The following is a 19662-nucleotide window of genomic DNA, read 5'->3' as shown; positions in this document are numbered from 1 at the left end:
ACCACAAAAGCACAGGTAATAATAGAATAAAATAATTAGGAAAAAAATTGAGTATTTATTACTTTATAAAATATAATTTACAGGCTGGGCATGGTGGCTCACGCCTGTAATCCCAGCACTTTGGGAGGCTGAGGTGGGCAGATCACCTGAGGTCAGGAGTTTGAGACCAGCCTGGCCCACATGGTGAAACCCCGTCTCTACTAAAAATACAAAAATTAGCCGGGAGTAGTGGTGCACGCCTGTAGTCCCAGCTACTCGGGAGGCTGAGGCATGAGAATCGCTTGAACGTGCGTGGGAGGCAGAGGTTGTAGTGAGCCGAGATCATGCCATTGCACTCCAGCCTGAGCAACAAGAGCCAAAACTCCATCTCAAAAAAAAAATTATTATATATATATATACACACATATATATGTATAAAATTTATGGCCAGTCACAGTGGCTCATAATTGTAATTCCAGCACTTTGAGAGGCTGAGGCAGGTGGACCACCTGAGGTCAGCAGTTCAAGACCAGCCTGGCCAACATAGTGAAACCCCATCTCTACTAAAATACAAAAAATTAGCCAGGTGTGGTGGCAGGCACCTGTAATCCCAGCTACTGTAATCCCAGAGGCTGAGGCAGGAGAATCACTTGAACCCAGGAGGTGGAGGTTGCAGTGAGCAGAGATCACGCCACTGCATTCCAGCCTGAGCAACAAGAGTGAAACTCCATCTCAAAAATATATAATAGCAGCCAGGCGCGGTGGCTCATGCCTGTAATCCCAGCACTTTGGGAGGCTGAGGCAGGTGGATCACCTGAGGTCAGGAGTTTGAGACCAGCCTGGCCAACATGGTAAAACCCCGTCTCTACTAAAAATACAAAAATTAGCTGGGCGTGGTGGCAGGCACCTGTAATTCCAGCTACTGAGGGGGCTGAGGCAGGAGAATCACTTGAAACCAGGGGGCGGTGGTTGCAGTGAGCTAAGATTGTACCATTTCACTCCAGCCTGGGCAAAAGAGTGAGACTCCATCTCAAAAAACAAACAAACAAACAAACTATATATATATAATTTACTTAATGATGAATGTATACACTCAAAAAAAATTTTTTTTTTTGAGACGGAGTTTTACTCTTGTCCCCCAGGCTGGAGTACAATGGCACAACCTCGGCTCACTGCAACCTCCGCCTCCTGGGTTCCAGCAATTCTCCTGCCTCAGACTCCCGAGTAGCTGGGATTACAGGCATGGGCCACCACACCCAGCTAATTTTTGTATTTTTAGTAGAGATGGGGTTTCACCATGTTGGCCAGGCTAGTCTCGAACTCCCGACCTCAGGGGATCTGCCTGCCTTGGCCTCCCAAAGTGCTGGGATTACACGCATGAGCCATCGCTCCTGGCCTCAGAATTTTTTATAATGGTTGTGTTTAACAACCGGCTCATAAAATTCCTAAAATTTAGCAATCAGCTCTTATGTGTAGGTGTGAGCTGGCTCCCAACTCACCACTGCCCAGGACCCGGCAGAGGCTCTGTAAGGACCAGTCACTCCTGGGAATGTCATCAGACCAGGGTCCTGAATGAAAATGGCTCTGATGCCCTCCACTGAGGTAGAGAGAAGAAGAACTCTCTGGGACACTGCAAGGAAGGAGCTGAGCTGGGCCCAAGGTGGCACCATGGGGCGGAACAACTCTGGCACACTCAGTTGTTAAAGAGCCTGATTCTCTCCTGGACTTTAGACCCCTTGAGGGCAAGAACAGTGGCCCATTCACCCTTGTCTAGCCGGGTGACAGGAATACAAAAGGCACTGGAGACAGTTGTGCAGAAGAAAGCAAGGACTGAGTGGCCAGGGAGTCCCAGGCTGAGTGCTGGCGCCTTCGCTGACTCGCTTCAGCAGTGACCTTCGACAGTCACTTAAATGCTGTATGCTCAGCTTCCTCATCTGTAAGATGGATATGAACCCATCTCCCTGCCTAACTACTAGGGTGTTGTCAAAACAAAGAGATAGCAGATATGAAAGTACAATATAAATCCACGTTATTATCTTATCATGGCATATATATCATTTACTTTATCTTTTCAAAATTAATCATAGAAGATTACATGTATTCTTTCCACTCTGTTCCTTCTCAGTGTGTAAGAGGTACATGCTTAAAGCATCTAGCCCAACACCTGGCACTCAGCATATACTATAAATGTCTGTTAATTAATATACTATTTCCCCAAGTAACAGTACACTTTTCTCATATATATAATTAAGACAGGGTCTCCCTCTGTCACTTAAGCTGTAGTACGGTGGCACAATCACAGCTCACTGCAGCCTCGAACTTCCAGGCTCAAGTGATCCTCCCATCTCAGCCTCCTGAGTAGCTGGGACTACAGGCGTGCACCAGCACATCCAACTAATTTTTAAAATTTTTTGTAGAGACATGTTCTCTTGTGTTGCCCAGGCTGGTCCCGAACACCTGCGCTCAAGTGATCCTCCCACCTGAGGCTCCTAAAGTGCTGGGATTACAAGCATGAGCCACCATGCTCAATCTTCTTCTTTTCTTTTCTTTTTTTCTTTTGAGATAGAATCTCATTCTGTTACCCAGGCTGGAGTGCAGTGGCACAATCTTGGTTCACTGTAACCTCCGCCTCCCGGGTTCAAGCGACCCTCCCACCTCAGCCTCCCAAATAGCTGGGATTACAGACGTGCACCACCACACCCAGCTAATTTCTGTTTTCGTTTTTGTTTTGAAATGGAGTTTCACTCTTGTCACCCAAGCTGGAGTGCAATGGTGCGATCTTGGCTCACTGCAACCTGCACTTCCCGGGTTCAAGCGATTCTCCTGCTTCAGCCTCCCGAGTAGCTGGGACTACAGGCATGTGCCACTATGCCCAGCTAATTTTATATTTTTAGTAGAGATGGGGTTTCACCATGTTGGCCAGGCTAGTCCTGAACTCCTGACCTCAGGTAATCCGCCCACCTCAGCCTCCCAAAGTGCTGGGATTACAGACATGAGCTACTGAGCCTGGCCATAATTTTTGCATTTTTAGTAAAGACAGGGTTTCACCATGTTGGCCAAGCTGATCCCGAACTCCTGACCTCAAGTGATCCACCCAACTTGGCCTCCCAAAGTGCTGGGATTACAAGGGTGAGCCACCACACCCAACCTCCTCTTATACTAACCTGGTACCTGGGCCCCAGAGCAGTACACCAGCTTTCGCCCCTCCCCAGACTACTCCAGAGTTAAAACTTGAAACAGAATTTGGGAACCATTAGTTATTGGACATTCATTTATTCAGCAACTATGTGTAGAGCACCCACTATGCACCAGGCACTGTTCTGAGCTGTGATCAAGGACAGACATGGCCCCTGTTCCACTGGAAGACTGAAAAAAGCCCCCCGCCCCCACAACTGGGGCAGGAACCCTCAGAGCACTGTGGCTACCCTGGCTCACTGGAGAGGAAGTAGCTCCCGAGTGAGAAATGAAAGAGGTGAAGGATGGGACCCACTTCCTGGATAGAGAGAACAGCCCACAGAGGCTCTTTGGTGGAAGGGGAAGGGACAGGGGGCCTCAGGAAGGCAAGCGCCTGGGGACAGAGCGAGCATCAGATTCGGGCACCCCAGGAAGCCTTCCTTACAGGAGGGTTCTGAGCTTCAGCCTGAGGGCCCGATGAAGGGGAAGGGCAGTCCCCAGCCCACAGTCACAGGGAGCTTGGAGATTTCCGGAGGCTGACCTGCTTTCTAGTCTGTGTGTCCAGGGCCTGAACACCGTGGGGGGCACAGTGCTGGGCGGATGCTGGGAAGAGCTATGCATTCTAATGAGCCCGCACAACCTGCCCTCTCTCCCCAGAACCCGAGGAGGAGCAGATGGGGCTCCCGGCAGGTGGGGCGTGGCTTCCCAGTAGCATCCTTAAGGGAGGCCAAGGACTCTGGGGCAGAAACTGAGCTCCAAAGCCAGTGGGAAAGTGCAGCCCACCAGCCACCACCTCTCTACTTGGCACTGATGCAACGCAGGGCCTCCTGGCTTTCAGGGCCAAAGGAAGATTCGAGACCCCCGCCCCAGGGCCCCGCTTTGGCAGAGGGAGGAAGAATTGTCCCCATGCCCCCTACAGTCAGGCCTGCTCTCCCTCTCGGAGGCCATCCCAGCGACTCCAGGGGGGCTGGTCTTCATCTAGGGCCCTCCCTGACATATATCCCTGTTCCAGGGAGGATCCGGGACTGGCGGCTCCGCAGCCACGGCCTCCGGCTGACCCGGCATCCTCTCCTCCCACAGTCTCCTCCTGCAGGAGGCCGTCCCGTTCCGCCTCTGGGCGGGGGTCCAGGGTGGGAGAGGCTGACTCACCACAGAGGCGACAGGGGCACTCCCTGACTTCACCCGATCCCAGGGACCCCCAAGGTCAGCGCAGGAAGAAGTGGACCACAGGGGAAAGTGAGGCACAGGGTGGGGGTGGGGGTTCCCAAACTGTCCTGACTCCAGCCGGCTGGAGGCCACACACACACACAAGCTGAAGCACAAAGGCCACTCGCCCTAGTAACACCAGAACTCCAGTGACACAAGGAGAGACCCACACAGAGGGGAGACGCGGGCTCGGGGCTCTCACACCCAGACACAGGGACACAGCGGCGGACACGGCCCCCGCCCGCCCACGGCGACACGCCCAGGACACCCGGAGGACCCTGGCGCCTGGAGCGCCTCCCGCGCACTCGCAGACTCCGGCACACGCGAGGATCCCGCGGAGGCAGGGCCCCCGCGCTCACTCACCCACCTCGGCTGCCCGGGCCCGCGCCTTTGTCGTCCGCGCCGCTCACAAAGGCGCCTGGCGGCCGGCGCCGCGCCTCCAGCTCCGCAGGCCGCCGCGGGCGCCCATGGCCGGGACGGCGCCCCCACCGCCGCAGCCGCCGCCACCCGAGCCAATGGCCGCGCCGCCCGCCCGCCCGCGAGGTCCGGGCCCGCCGGGACTGCGCCCGCGCCCGCCGCGCTCCGAGGCCTGGTCCCGCCGCCGCCGCCGTGCGCGACGCGGCGCCGCCCCCGCCCGCCCGGTCCCGGGGCGCCGCGGCTGAGGTCACCGCTTAACCCCTGGTGGCCGGGGCAGCGGCCGCCGCGCCCCCTCCCTGCTCCCAGCGCGCCGCGAGGGAGACGTGGCCTCCCCCGACCCGCTGCGAGCCCCCAGCGGTCCCGGCAGCCCACCGGCCCCCCACAGTACAGGGGGGAAACTGAGGCCCGCGGGGATGGGGCCCGGCCCCGGCCACACGGCGACCTCCTCGCTCCTTCACCTACCCCGGGGTCCCCACTTCCCGCCTCCCGGTTCTCCTTCCCCGGTTCTCCGCGGGGAGACCCCGCAGGCGCGCAGGGTGCTGGCTTCTCCTCCCCCACTTCAACATTTTGCCCTGAGGTTCCCCCAAAAGGGTGAGAATCCTGGACCGGCCCCAGGGGAAACCCTAGACTTATGACCTGCCCCTCAACCAGTCTTGGCGGCCCCGTATTGCCCCCCACCCCCGCCATGGCAACATGGGGAACCTTGCAGCCATGCAGCCAAACCTCCAAGAACAACCCTGGCGGGTTCAGGCATTGACGGCTTTGAGACCGGCAACACCCCAGTGATGTAGCCCCATTTTCCCTAGGAGAAAACTGAGGCTCAGAACTGAGAGTAACTTGGCAAAGCTCACTGAGCAGCAAAGTGCTGAGACTGAGATCCTAGCATTCCCCTGCCTTTGCAGCTCCAAAGCTGCCAAACACTAGGTACTCCCTCCTGAAATTCCAAAGAGGGCCTCTGGATATGATGCAATTAATTACAGTTATCAGGTCATTAATTAAGATTATCCGCGTTGTTGTTAAACACTCCCCCGCTACCCCTCTATTTGCAAGGAAATTCACACGCGGGCTTATCAGCAATTACTCCTGGGTTGATAATGATAAGTTCTGCAGCCTCCAAAGGGTACAGGTGCACGTAGGTTGAAATCATTTTCAGCTTGTGTTCCTTACAGCCCACAGCCAGCAAAAACTTTTTTTTTTTTTTTTTTTTAACTACTCCCTATTTGTCAGGCACCAGCCTCAGGGGCTACCAGTGAGACAAAGAACCAGACAGACCCCAGCCCCGCCCCCTCGGAGCTCATAGGCTTAGGAGAAGACGCAAATAAACAAACGGCTACAGTGCAGTGAGACAAGCCACACAGGCCACGCACTGAAATCATCTTATTCACCGACTTGTTGGTTTGTTTATTGTCCCTCTCGACACAAGAACATAAGCACCACAGAGTTGTCCTGAGCCCCAGGCTAGGGCAACACTGGCTCATAGTTTAAGTAGGCAGGAGATATTCTTTGAGCATTTTTGCTCTGTTCCAGACATCGTTCTAGGCACGCAGGAGACACCAGTGAACACAACAGGCACGGCCCCTGCCCTGCTGTGAATAAATGATGGCAGGACAGCAGACAGGAGAGGTTTGGGGATGCTAGCAAAGCAGGAAGAAGACTTCAGATGTCCATTGAGTGACCTCAGGCTCATGGCATTAAGCTTTGGACCAGAAATGGACTTTTGAGTCCTGCCGTCATAGCCAGAGCCAAGTACACATCCCAGACCAGCATCGCGGTCTTTCACAGTGTACTCCAACCCCTTCCTTGGCTATGTTTTTTTTCTTTCTTTGTTTTTTTTTAAGAGACTGGGTCTTGCCCTGTGGCTCAGGCTGGCACAATCAGCTCACCGTAACCTCAAACTCCTAGGCTCAAGCAATCCTCCTGCCTCAGCCTGCAAGTAGCTGGCACTACAGGTGCGGGCATGGTGGTGCCTGTAGTGCCTATATTGCCAGGTAGCCATGCCTGGCTCATTTTTTTTTTCTTTTCTTTCTTTTTTTTTTTTTTTTTTTTGTAGAGATGGTGGTCTTACTATGTTGTCCAGGCTGGTCTTGAACTCCTGGGCTCAAGAGATCATCCCATCTTGGCCTCCCAAAGTGCTGGGATTACAGGTGTGAATCACCGTGCCCGGCCTTCTTTATTGTCTTATTTCCCATCTGATCCTGAAATGTCTGACGCCTCCAGCTCAGGATGCCCCTTACCTTCTTTGGTTGTACTAAGTCTTACCCTCCTGTCTGAGAACCAACACAAGGCCCAGAATCTCCAGGAGGCCTTTTCACATGGCCTCCTCCATTCCCTGACCTCTCCCTCCTCTGAGCTCTATAGCACCTAGTCCTTTTGTTGTAAGTTGGCTCTGGGTGCATAACTGATTTGACCCATCTAGCTTGAGGGCAGCTATGATACAGCCTTGAGGGCAGGGGCCATGCCCCAGACCCCCGTTGTGCCCTCAGAGCCCAGCACAGGTTAGGGGCACACTCTTTAGAGGATCGTAATGGATTCTAAAGGACACCCTAGAACCCTTATCAATATAACCCTCTGGGTCTAGGGTTCCAAACCACCTGCTCATAAAACAAATTGAGTCTGCAGAAGCATTTTGTTTTGCCCACAGTGGTTTTGTTGTTGTTAGTTGCCATCATTTAATCATTGGGAGATTTCCCATAAAAAGTCAGATTGCAGCCAGGAGCAGTGGCTCATGCCTGTAATCCCAGCACTTTAGGAGGCCAAGGCAAGAGGATTGCTTGAGGCCAGGCATTTTAGACCAGCCTGGGCAACATAGGGAGACCCCTGTCTCTACAAAAATAAAATAAAATAAAATAAAATAAAATAAAAATCTAGCCAGATGCGGTAGTGCATGCCTATAGTCCCAGCTACTCAGGTGGCTGAGGTGGGAGGATCACTTGAGCCCAGGAGTTTGAGGCTGCAGTGAGCCATGATCCCACCGCTGCACCCCAGCCTAGGCAACAGCATGACTCTGTCTCTGAAAAAAAAAAATTAAAAGCCAGATTTCTAGCTTCTCTTAACAAATCGGAAGATCTGATAATGCCAGGTCCACATTCCCCCAGGGCCACACTCTGCAGGGCCCCAGGAGTGGTGGCCCTTTAGACACAGCTGTGCTCTCCACTTGTCAACGTCACTCGCAGCCCTCTGTCACTCCTCTGATTTAAGGCCCCTCCTCTGTGATAGTGTTTTGATTTCATTTTCCCTCTACTCTCCACTCTGGCGAGAAAGAGTGACATCACAAAACATATGCTGGAAAATAAATAAACCTGCAGCCCTCACAGTCCAGGCCAGCCCTCAGCAGGCCACATCTTCACGTATTCTTGCCCTCTTGACATGCACCCGCCTCTTCACTCTCACTTCCCCAGAAGCACATTCTTGTTTTTCTTTTTTGGTGATAGAGTCTTGCTCTGTCATTGAGGCCAGTGTGCAATGATGTGATCTCAGCTCACCGCAACCTCCGCCTCCCAGGCTTAAGTGACCCCCCTACCACAGCCTCCTAACTGAGACTACAGGTGTGCACCATCATGCCCCGCCAATTTTTGTATTTTTTTGTAGAGATGGGGTTTCACCATGTTGCCCAGGCTGGTCTTGAACTCCTGGGCTCAAGTGATTCTCCTGCTCTGGCCTCCCAAAGTGCCGGGATTACAGGTGTGAGCCATTGTGCCCTGCCCCAGCTGCACACTCTAAGCTCCACAGCACAAATGAATGCACAGGTGTTTCTCTGAGCCTTTGCCCTCGGCTGGAATGCCCCTGACTACTCCATCCCCCAGACACTATGGTTAACTGCTTTTTAGTGCTGTCAACATAAACAGCACCTTCTCAGGGAGCTCCTTCCAAGGACGGCCACACTGGGCCCCAGGCCCCTACCTGCAGCCTGCATTCCCTGGTCAGTGTGCCCAACCTACCACATGTGGTGGCATGTTTGCCCCATGTCTCCCCCCCGGACTGTGAGTCCACGGAGGCTGGACTCTGTTGTCTCATTCCGGGTGGTATCCCCAGCACCTGCTCCAGAACCTGGTGCAGCATAGACACGAGACAAATATGTGCTGAATAGATGAGTGGATGGGTTTCAATAGCCACAAAAGGAACAAAAAGGATTTCTGGGAACATTTCCATGTCCCAGAACATTCAATTAACCAGAATTACCCACTCACTGAGCACTCTGGTGAGGGCAGGATTTATTGTGTAAGCAAAATCATCAATGATACATTACATCTGGATGGGACTCAGGAGTCTGTCCTCCTTGTCTCCGCTGCTGACCTGGGAAAGAGAGAATGAGGGCATACAGGGGTGGTATTTCCCTGGTCAGAGAGGTTAGGTGACTTGTCCAAGATTGCTCAGCAATCTGGTGGCAAAGCCAAGATGGGGACCCAGGGCCCCCGCCGCTGCCTCCCAGTCTGGCCCCGCTCCCACCAGTCAGCTCCATAGTGCAGGGGTCCCCAACCCTCAGGCCATGGATCAGAACCAGGCTGTGGCCTGTTAGGAACCAGGTCACACAGCAGGAGGGGAGTGGCAGGTAAGCAAGCTTCATCTCTATGTATAGCCATGCCCATCACTCACATTACCACCTGAGCTCTGCTTCCTATCAGATCAGCAATGGTGGCATTAGATTCTCAGAGGACCACAAGCCCTGTTGTGAACTGTGCATGTGAGGGATCTAGACTGCGCGCCCCTTATGAGAATCTAATGCCTGATGATCTGTCAGTGTCTCCCATCACCCCCAGATGGGACCATCTGGTTGCAGGAAAACAAGCTCAGGGCTTCCACTGATTCTACATTATGGTGAGTTGTATAATTATTTCATTATATATTACAATATAATAATAGAAATAAAGTGCACAATAAATGTAATGCGTTTGAATCATCCCAAAACCATCCCCCCACCCCATCCATGGAAAAATTGTCTTCCACATCCCCGAAACCAGTTCCTGAGGCCAAAAAGTTTGAGGGCCTCTGCCATAGTAGATCAAACAGAAAGTGGCCCGGCATGGTGGCTCACACCTGTAATCTCAGCACTTTAGGATGCCAAGGCAGATGGATCATCTGAGGTCAGGAGTTTGAGACCAGCCTGGCCAACATGGTGAAACCCTGTCTCCACTAAAAATACAAAATTAGCCAGGCATGGTGGCACATGCCTGCAATCCCAGCTACTAGGGAGGCTGAGGCAGGAGAATCACTTGAACCCAGGAGGCAGAGGTTGCAGTGAGCTGAGATTGTGCCACTGCACTCCAGCCTGGGCAACAGAGCAAGACTCCTTCTCAAAAAAAAAAAAAAAATCAGAAAATGGGTGGGCCAGGCATGGTGGCTGGCCAGGCACCATGACTCATGCCTGTAATCCCAGCACTTTGGGAGGCCGAGGTGGGTGGATCACTTGAGGTCAGGAGTTCGAGACCAGCCTGGCCAACATGGCAAAACCCCGTCTCTACTAAAAATACAAAAATTAGCAGCCAAGCACGGTGGTTCACACCTGTAATCCCAGAACTTTGGGAGGCCGAGGTGGGGCAGATCACAAGGTCAGGAGCTCGAGACCATCCTGGCTAACATGGTGAAACCCCGTCTCTACTAAAAATACAAAAGATTAGCCGGGCGTGGAGGCGGGCGCCTGTAGTCCCAGCTACTTCGGAGGCTGAGGCAGGAGAATGGCGTGAACCCAGGAGGCGGAGCTTGCAGTGAGCTGAAATCACGCCACTGCACTCCAGCCTGGGTGACAAAGTGAGACTCCGTCTCAAAAAAAAAAAATTAGCTAGGTGTGGTGGCAGCTGCTTGTAATCCCAGCTACCCAGGAAGCTGAGGCAGGAGAATCTCTTAAACCCAGAAGGCAGAGGTTGCAGTGAGCCAAGATCACGCCACTGCACTCCAGCCTGAGAGACATAGCAAGACTCCGTCTCAAGAAAAAAAAAAAGAAGAAGAAGAAAGTGGGTGGATGGGAATGTGGACTTCCCGAGTCTGGATACCGGCCTCGCATAGGCAGTATGAATGGAGAGTGCCCAGCCAGCAGCCAGTCTTTGTTATGTACTACATCATCAAGCCAATCATGAACAGGCTAGTATCAAAGAGAGACTAGGTCACGTTTTGCTACAAATAAGGATGATAGAGTCGGTCTCATCAAGATGAAACCCTCCTTCCATAACATTCCTGCCCCTGTTCAATAGGACAGGCATTTTGAGGGGGGCTGGGATGCACGGAGCAACACCTCAAGCCTTCTAGGTTCTTCATAACCCAAGACCTGCATCTGGGGGGAAACAAGCTAAAGTCAAAGACAGCCACAGGTGTCCTGGGGGATCAGGTCAAAGGACGCCTCACTTCCCTGAGCTGCTCCTTTACGGGACTTAGTATCAGGAGAGACTAGTCTGAATAGCCCATTCTCCTGGGGAATGTAGTGTCAAAATCACCACAGCAAGCCGGCACAGTGGCTCACGCTTATAATCTCAGCATTTTGGGAGGGCAAGGTGGGAGGATTGCTTGAGGCCAAGAGTTCAAGACCAGCCTGGGCAACATAGCAAGACCCCATCTGTACAAAAATAATGATAAGATAATAATAGCAAATGCTTAATAGCACTCTCTAAACACCAGGTTCTGTTTAAACACTTCACATGTATTAGCTCATTTAATCCTCACAGTAACCCTATAAAGTGGATACTTTTATCCCCATTTTACCAATGAGGAAACTGAGGCACAAAGACACTCTGTCCTAGCCTTGAATGTTCGTCAAGAAGACCTGTTCTTACTCAGCACCCCCTTCACTTGAGCCACTTGAGTGGATTTTTATTTCTTGAAAGCCAAGAAGCCTGTGATGAGAGGAGAGATGAATATTCAGGTGGTACTGTCTGTCCCTGGCCACTGTCTTGGTGCAGGATGAAGGGGGCATTCCTGAGTCCTTTGCAAAGAGAGGGACCAGTTAAGGCACAAGGTATACCCAGCACCGTGCTTTAGCCTTCCTGTATCTCCTAAAACAGAAAAGGTCAAGAGGGGGTGGTGGGTGCAGTAGCTCACACTTGTAATCCCAACACTTTGGGAGGCCGAGGCAGGCAGATCACCTGAGGTCAGGAGTTCAAGACGAGCCTGGCCAATATAGGGAAACCCCGTCTCTACTGAAAACACAAAAATTAGCTGGGCATGGTGGTCTGTGCCTGTAGTCCCAGCTACTCGGGAGGCTGAGGCAGGAGAATAGCTTGAACCTGGATGACGGAGGTTGCAGTGAGCCGAGATCACGCCACTTCACTCCAGCCCGGGCAACAGAGCAAGACTCCATCTCAAAAAAAAAAAAAAAAGATCAAGGGTGAAGGGACAAAGGACAAAGCCTTAGCACAGGGTAAATGTGGGCTGGGGTATCAGAGGCAGCTGCAAACACATACAGCTCCTCTACCCAGCAGGCCAAACCCCACAGGCCCCAGGGGGCCACCTACTCCTCAGGGGTATCTGCAGCCTCCTCTAGGGATAACAGGCAGAGCACTTGGGGATGTCTGCTGAGCCAAGGGGAGGTTGGATTTCTCAGCTTGGGGCCTGGCCAAGGAGCCAGAAAGGACAAGGAGACAAGGTCTTTGCTTCCTGGCATCAGATTACTGCTCCAACCCAGGGATCAGAGCACCAGGCCAGGCTCCCAGGCATAAGAGTTGCTGGTCAGCTGACAGCAGACAGGGCCGAGGGCCTGTTCTAGAAGTTACCATGAAGATAGAGGGGATGTGTCGGTGGCTGCTGAGGAGAGGGAGCAGGGAGAGAGCCCAGGGGACACAGCGAGCCTCCAGCCTTGCCAAGCAGACCTGGCTGGAGACTGCGGGCCAGGACAAGAGGTTCTCAGGAGGGCAGGGCCTGGGCCTGGGCCTAGAGAAAGACTTCAGTGACACTTGGCTGGTGGGTGGTGGTGGGGGGTGCTCAGCTCCCACTGGCTCGCCTAGGCTGTGGCAGGAGGGCCTGGCCATGGCTGCAGCCTGGCACCAGCCCCAGAAACCTTCATCATCTCACAGTTTCACTGCCCAGGGCGGGGAGGCTCCATAAGCTCCCTGGTCTCCCAGATGAAAGACGCTTTCTAAGAGTCATAAAACCATCTCCACTCAGAACAATGGGCTCTTATCCGGCTGTGTCCTTCACATAAACTCCCATGAGCAACACACCAGAAGCTGCAGGCAGGGGTTTTATAGACTGGCTTTTTGGACCAGCCCCAGAGCTCATTAACATCTACTCCCTTGCCCTCTGTGGAGGCTGTGTGGAGGCCGCATGGAATCACACCCATCTCTCCCGTTTACAGAGGCCCACTGTGTGCTAAGCCTCCAGGCAACCCTGCAGGGAAGGTGGCTCTATCCTGCTTTATGAATAAATAGGCCCAGAGAGGTTAAGTGACTTGTCCAAGGTCACACAGTGGGAGAGTGAAAGAGCTGGGATTTAAATCCAGAGTTCATGCTCCTTCCCCCAGACCATGTGACCTTCGGATAAGCTTACCCAAGTCTTCCCCCAAGAACTCAAGGGGTTAAGCTCCCAGATATGACATCTTCTGAGACCCGAAAGCCTTCACCAGGATGGTCATGTTGACCCACCTAGTGGGTCAGCAGAGGCACAGGGGTGGGTCAGTTTGGAAGGGAGACTCAGCACGTCAGGGACGTGAAAGAGGCCCGGAGCCCCTTCCCTCTGCCAAAACCCTGAGTCCCCACTGTATCCCACATTCACCCTTCCAAAGACCTTTCACCCCACTCCTCCTCTGAAGGCCACCTGTGCTGATGATGCCCCCACTTTTACTGTGCATCTATTTACATTTACCATACGCCAGGCTCTGCAGTCTTCATGCATGATCCCATTGACTCTTGCAAGAACTCTGTAGGATGGCTGCCTTCTTTTTTTCTTTTTTTTATTTTTATTTTTATTTTTTTTTGAGATGGAGTCTTGCTGTGTCACCCAGGCTGGAGTGCAGTGGCACGATCTCGGCTCATTGCAACCTCTGCCTCCCGTGTTCAAGCAATTCTCTTGCTTCAGCCTCCCAAGTAGCTGGGATTATAGGAGCCTGCCACCACGCCCGGCTAATTTTTGTATTCGGGGTTTTCACCATGTTGGCCAGGCTGGTTTCGAACTCCTAACCTCAAGTGATCCACCCACCTCAGCCTCCCCAATGCTAGGATTACAGGCGTGAGCCACCACGCCCAACCAGAATGGCTGCTTTCAAGATCCTCTTTTTCATACAAGAAACTGAGGTCCGGAAAGGTAAGCAGCCTGCCTGAGGTCACACAGCAAGTAAACAACAGATCCCAGGTCTATGTGACTCTCCCCCACCACATTGCCCCAAAACTTCACAATGTCCAGCAGGCACTCTATCCCCACCTTCTCAATCCCACAGTACTGGCTCACAACCCTGGGTGTCACCACAGATGCATGGATAATGACAATAACAGCTGATCCTTTGTGGGTACCTTCTGAGAGCTAACCTCACCCCCTGCACCATCTCCTATCTACACAACAACCCTCAATGTTGATATTGCAATTCCTATTCTGCAGATGAGGAAACTGAGGCTCAGAAAGGGAAAATGTCTTACCCATTGTCCCACAGAGCTGATTAAGTGGGGGTGCCAGGGTTTGAACCCTCTTCTCTCTGGTTCCAGAACCACTGTTCCTTACAGGTAAGCCAGCATGATAGTTAGACCAAACCATCCCAATAGAGACTTGGCATGCATTCAACAAACATCCCAGGTGCCTAGGGTGTGCCCAGCACCATTCCAGGAGCTGCCAGTAAAGGAAACAAGACTGCTGTGTGGCCAGGTGCGGTGGCTCACATCTGTAATCTCAGCACTTTGGAATGCCGAAGTGAGTGGATCACCTGAGGTCAGGAGTTCAAGACCAGCCTGGCCAACATGGTGAAACCCCATCTCTACTAAAAATACAAAAATTAGCCGGGCATGGTGGCAGGCGCCTGTAGTCCCAGCTACTCGGGAGCCTGAGGCAGGAGAATTGCTTGAACCTGGGAGGTGGAGGTCACAGTGAGCCGAGATCGTCACACTGCACTCCAGCCTAGGCAACAAGAGCAAGATTGCGTCTCAAAAAAAAAAAAAAAAAAAAAAAAAGACTGATGTGTTCCTGGCCCCATGGCCCCATAAGCCCCATGGGAGGTTACCAGGGACCCCCTGATCATTCCTGGCTGCTCTGCTTAGAGCTCCACCTATAGCTGCCTCCTGTCATCCTCCAGTGCCACCCACCTCCTCTGAGCTCCCAGGAACTTCCCAGATAGCCTGCCCCAGCCCCTGCAAAGGCAGTTCACAGCTTGTCATTCATGGGTCATTTTGCCCTCAGATGCTTCTCAACCAGCTCCTAACTGGGCAAACCAGATAGGCAGCTGTGGTGGCCCAGGCTTCCCTGAAGAACCCCTTAGACCCAGCCCAGAAGGCATGGCTAGCATCCACAGCACCTGTGTGGAGGTGATTTGCTCATAGCCCTCCCCACCCTGAGAAGCTGGCTTGGGGTCTGCCCTATGTCACCATCCCCTCTACTGTCTGTGGCTGCCAAGGACAAGCCAACTTCCCAGAACAACCCATGGATACATCTGGTTAACTAGTTAATGCCGGACACTGTGTTAAATGATCTTAATTGGCCGGATGTGGTGACTCGTGCCTGTAAACCCAGCACATTGGGAGGCCGAGGAAGGTGGATCACTTGAGGTCAGGAGTTCAAGACTAGCCTGGCCAACATGGTGAAACCCTGTTTCTACTAAAAATACAAAAATTAGCTGGGTGTGGTGGTGCATGCCTGTAGTCCTAGCTACTTGGGAGGCTGAGGCAGGAGATCGCTTGAACCCAGGAGGTAGAGGTTGCAGTGAGCCAAGATCACGCCACTGTACTCCAGCCTGGGCAACAGAGGGAGACTCCATCTCAAAAAACAAAACAAAACAAAATGATCTTAATCATCATCATCTATATCACCATCCTCACAACCATCATCATCAACATGGCTAACATTTATTGAGCATTTGCTACACGACAAGACCTGAGCCAGCCCTTTACCGTATTATCCCATGGAAACACAATAATCCCATGAAGTAAGTACTGGAACCATCCCATGCAACAGATGAGCACACTGATAAGCACACGTTAAGCCTAGCACCAAGTACTATAGTGCTTGTTAAATTGTCTGTTACCCCTGCTATACTATTATCCCCCGAGGGCAGGATCATGTATCCAGTGCACAGAGTTGTGTCTCCAGAATGCAGTGTCTGGCACAGAAGAGGAATTCAATAAACAGTCTTCAGATGAATGAATGGATGGAGGATGGATGGATGGATGAAAATTATGGGTGGTGGACAAATGGATGGATGGAGGATGGATGGCTGGATGGATGGATGGATGGATGGGTGGATGGATGAATACAACTGAAAACCAAAAGGAGGCCGAGCACAGCGGTTCATGCCTATAACACTTTAAGAGGTCGAGGTGGGAGGATCACTTGGGCCCAGGAGTTCAAGACCAGCCTGGGCAACACAGTGAGACCCTGTCTCTACAAAAAGTAAAAATAAATTATACAGGCATAGTGGTGTATGCCTGTGGTCCCAGCTACTTGGGAGGCTAAAGTGGGAGGATCACTTGAGCCCAGGAGTTCAGTGAGCTGTGATCATGCCACTGTACTCCAGCCTGGGGGACAGAGCAAGACTCTGTTTCAAATAAATAAATAAACAAATAAAGAAAGAAAATAATTATCTTAATGAATTTTTTCAAAGTAAAGAAAACCAAGAGGAAAAGGGACAGGCGCAGTGGCTCACACCTACAATCCTAGCATTTTGGGAGACCAAGGCAGGTGGATCACTTGAGTCCAGGAGTTTGAGACCAACATGGCAAAACCTCATCTCTACTAAAAATACAAAAATTAGCCAGGTATGGTGGCTCATGCCTGTGGTCCCAGCCACTCAGGAGACTGAGGCAGGAGAATCGCTTGAACCCAGGAGGCGGAGGTTGCAGTGAGCCAAGATCATGCCACTGCATTCCAGCTTGGGTGACAGAGTGAGACTCTATCTCAAAAAAAAAAAAAAAAGAAAAGAAAGAAAGAAAGAAAAGCAAGAGGAAAAGCACTAGAGGGCAATAACCCTCGCCTCCCAGTCACCTACCCCCTCAGTGAATAGGTCGGAAACTGGATGCAGTTTTTCTGCTAACTGGAAAATCCCCTGGCAAGGATTCCAGGCAAAGCAGAGAAGAGTATGTTGATGTTTCAGGCGTAGAAAAAAAAAAAGGAGTGTCTTGGGGGTGATGAACTTTGAGAGAGCTCAGTAAAGACAGCAGTGCACAGAGTCTGATCAAGCATTTTCCCAGAAGCCACCAGGGAATTTAACCTGCTCAATCCCAAACTACAGGTCTCTGGATCGGCTCCGGGTGAGGGGTACGGGTGGTGCCATAAAATGTCTCCAATGTAGTGAGCTCCCTGCCCTGTGGCTCCAGGGTGGGGCCTGGGAACAGAGCCGTGCCAGCCTCTCAAGTTCTGGTCGGAGTCAATCCCAACCCATTCCCTGGGTGCTGTCTCAGAATTGTGTGTGGAGCACCCGCCAGGAGGCTAGAGCTTTAGGGAGATTATTCTCTGGTGTATTAAAAGATCTCATGCTGACCTACAAATCCTCCGACCACATGAATTCTGATCAGCGGCGTCAGCCAGCCACCCGGTTCTGGGGTGAGATCAATGTGAAGCAGGTTGCCCCCTTCCCCCACCCCTGCATTCCCTGATCAGAGCCCAGGGTTTCTAGTTTCCTTTGGGAGAAGCAAGACTCAGAGATGAAACAAGTCGGTAGTCCCAGGAGAGCAGGCATGGAGGCCTGTGGCCCAGTTTTGTAGTTTCCAGAACAACTTTTCAAGAAAATGAAGAAGAGAAAAAGGCTAGAAAGCAGAGTGGGATCCCGGCCCCACTTAGAGACATCCGCCCGCCTGAATGGAACAAGTCATTGCCATCCAAGACAGCACAACGAGGCATCCTGCCATCCCTGAGCCTTGTCTTTTTTTTTTTTTTTCTTTTGGAGACAGGGTCTCACTCTCTTGTCCAGGCTGGAGTGCAGTGGTGTGATCTTGGCTCACTGTAAACTCTGCCTCACAGGCTCAAGCGATTCTCATGCTTCAGCCTCTAAGTAGCTGAGACTACAGGCATACACCACCATGTCTGACTAATTTTTCATATTTTCAGTAGAGACGGGGTTTCGCCATGTTGCCCAGGCTGGTCTCAAACTCCTGGGCTCAAGCAATCTGCCCACCTCGGCCTCCCCAAGTGCTGGGATTACAGGTGTGAGTGACTGTGCCCGGCCAGCCTTGTCTCTTTGTCAGAAACAGGGAGTTGGGGCAACCCTGGTGCCAAGATATGGCCTTCCTTTCATTGAGCATTTGCTGTGCACCAGGTTTAGTGATCTGCCTGGGATAACTCATAACCCTCTCAACACCTCAGTGAGACCAAGTGACTCATCCAAGTTCACACCATCAGAAGGGACAGAGCTGAGATCTGAACCCAACTCTGACCAAAAAGTCCAAATTTTTCCACTAATAAGGTGGAAAGGACTTAGGAGGCCTCTTCTCCCACAAACGTTGGCATCCCAGGTTTATTCCAAAAATTGGCCACACAGACTAGGGGCAGGTTTTTACAGAGATCACTCCAGTCTTGGCCAGTCCCCTGAATATCGGAAGCAATAAGAACCTCCCCTGCATTCCTGTGCTCCCTGGGCTTTGCAGCCACACAGGGAGGAAGGAGAGGGAGCACTGGCAGGGAACCCAGAGAGGGCACTGGGGAGCCATCCATTTGAGCAATTCAGAGACTTTCAGAGGGGAAGGGCCCTGAGGAATAGGGGGTGGGAGATGGGGAGTGGGGGAGTTATTGCCCTCTAGTTCTTTTCCTCCTGGTTTTCTTTTTTCTTTTCTTTTTTTTTTTTTTTTTGAGACAGAGTCTCACTCTATCACCCAGGCTAGGGTGCAGTGGTGGGATCTCAGCTCACTGCAACCTCCACCTGCAGGATTCAAGCGATTCTTCCATCTCGGCTTCCCAAGTGGCTGGGACACAGGCGCACGCCACCACACCTGGCTAATTTTTGTATTTTTAGCAGAGACGGGGTTTTACCATGTTGGCCAGGCTGGTTTCAGACTCCCAATCTCAAGTGGTCTGCCCATCTCAGCCCCCCAAAGTGCTGGGATTACAGTCATGAGCCACAGCACCCAGCCTCTTTACTTTAAAAAAAAATTATTAAAAGAATGATTTTATTTATTTGTTTATTTATTTATTTGGAAAGGAGTCTCGCTCTGTTGCCCAGGCTGGAGTGCAGTGGTGTCATCACAGCTCACTGCAGCCTTGAACTTCTGGACTCAGGCGATCCTTCCATCTCAGCCTCCTGAGTAGCTGGGACCACAGGCGTGTGCCACCAGGAACAAGACTAGAACCCATGGCTCAAGCCAACATCCTCCTTTCCTAGAGAGAAACTGAGGCCCCAAGAGGTCAAGCATTTGCTCAAGGTCATGCAGGGCGTGAAGAATGGCGTGGGGAGCAGAGGCAGCCTCCTGGCTCCCAGCCTAGGGTCCCATCCCCCACCCCAGTTGGCTCAAACCAACCATGACATTGGGACCTTTTTTATCAGATAGAACGGATGCTTATCAGATTTAATTATAACATTGCTCAGGGGGAGAGACAGGGTAGACTAAGATGCGGAGGGAGAAGGTGGGCAGGGGCACTACTTAACCCCGCTGGCTCCCTCCCTCTCCTCCCTCCCCATGCTGGGGTATTGGATGTCTCTACAGTAGCTGAGCTGGGTTTGGCTGGGCCAGCAGGAAGGACCAGGGTTACCTGCAGAGCAGGTCACAGTGTGGTCCGGAGAGCTCCCTGTTTTCTTGGTTCCCCTTGAAACAAAGGCTGCCTCTGTTTCTGAGACAAGGA

General features: G+C 52.1%; 1 protein-coding gene across 18 annotated transcripts in view, besides 2 other annotated features; it reads right to left on the bottom strand.

Moving 5' to 3' along the window:
* ARHGEF10L (Rho guanine nucleotide exchange factor 10 like) overlaps positions 1–19662 on the bottom strand; it is a 184441-nt gene that overhangs the window by 153199 nt on the left and 11580 nt on the right. For 8 of the 18 annotated variants that reach the window (NR_137287.2, NR_137288.2, XM_005245923.3 and 5 more), the window contains exon 1: positions 4727–4979. The exons of 5 other annotated variants lie outside the window; for them this stretch is intronic. The gene's annotated coding sequence lies outside the window, so the exon portion shown is untranslated. Of the gene's footprint in view, positions 1–4722; positions 4980–5238; positions 5374–19662 lie in introns of those variants that run through there. 5 more of the 18 variants (XM_047424065.1, XM_047424112.1, NM_001438944.1 and 2 more) reach the window with 4 other exon arrangements.
* Positions 7839–7888: an enhancer, noted in NCBI's record as "active region_280". NCBI's record gives its function as "activates an Ori minimal core promoter by ATAC-STARR-seq in GM12878 lymphoblastoid cells {active_cell/tissue: GM12878}" and the evidence as "EXISTENCE:reporter gene assay evidence [ECO:0000049][PMID:35858748]".
* Positions 8399–8448: an enhancer, noted in NCBI's record as "active region_279". NCBI's record gives its function as "activates an Ori minimal core promoter by ATAC-STARR-seq in GM12878 lymphoblastoid cells {active_cell/tissue: GM12878}" and the evidence as "EXISTENCE:reporter gene assay evidence [ECO:0000049][PMID:35858748]".

This window comes from Homo sapiens, chromosome 1 (genome assembly GCF_000001405.40).
Source record: "Homo sapiens chromosome 1, GRCh38.p14 Primary Assembly".
NCBI lineage: Eukaryota > Metazoa > Chordata > Mammalia > Primates > Hominidae > Homo > Homo sapiens.
The sequence above is the reverse complement of the archived record's forward strand: the minus strand, read 5'-3'. Positions and strand labels throughout refer to the sequence as shown.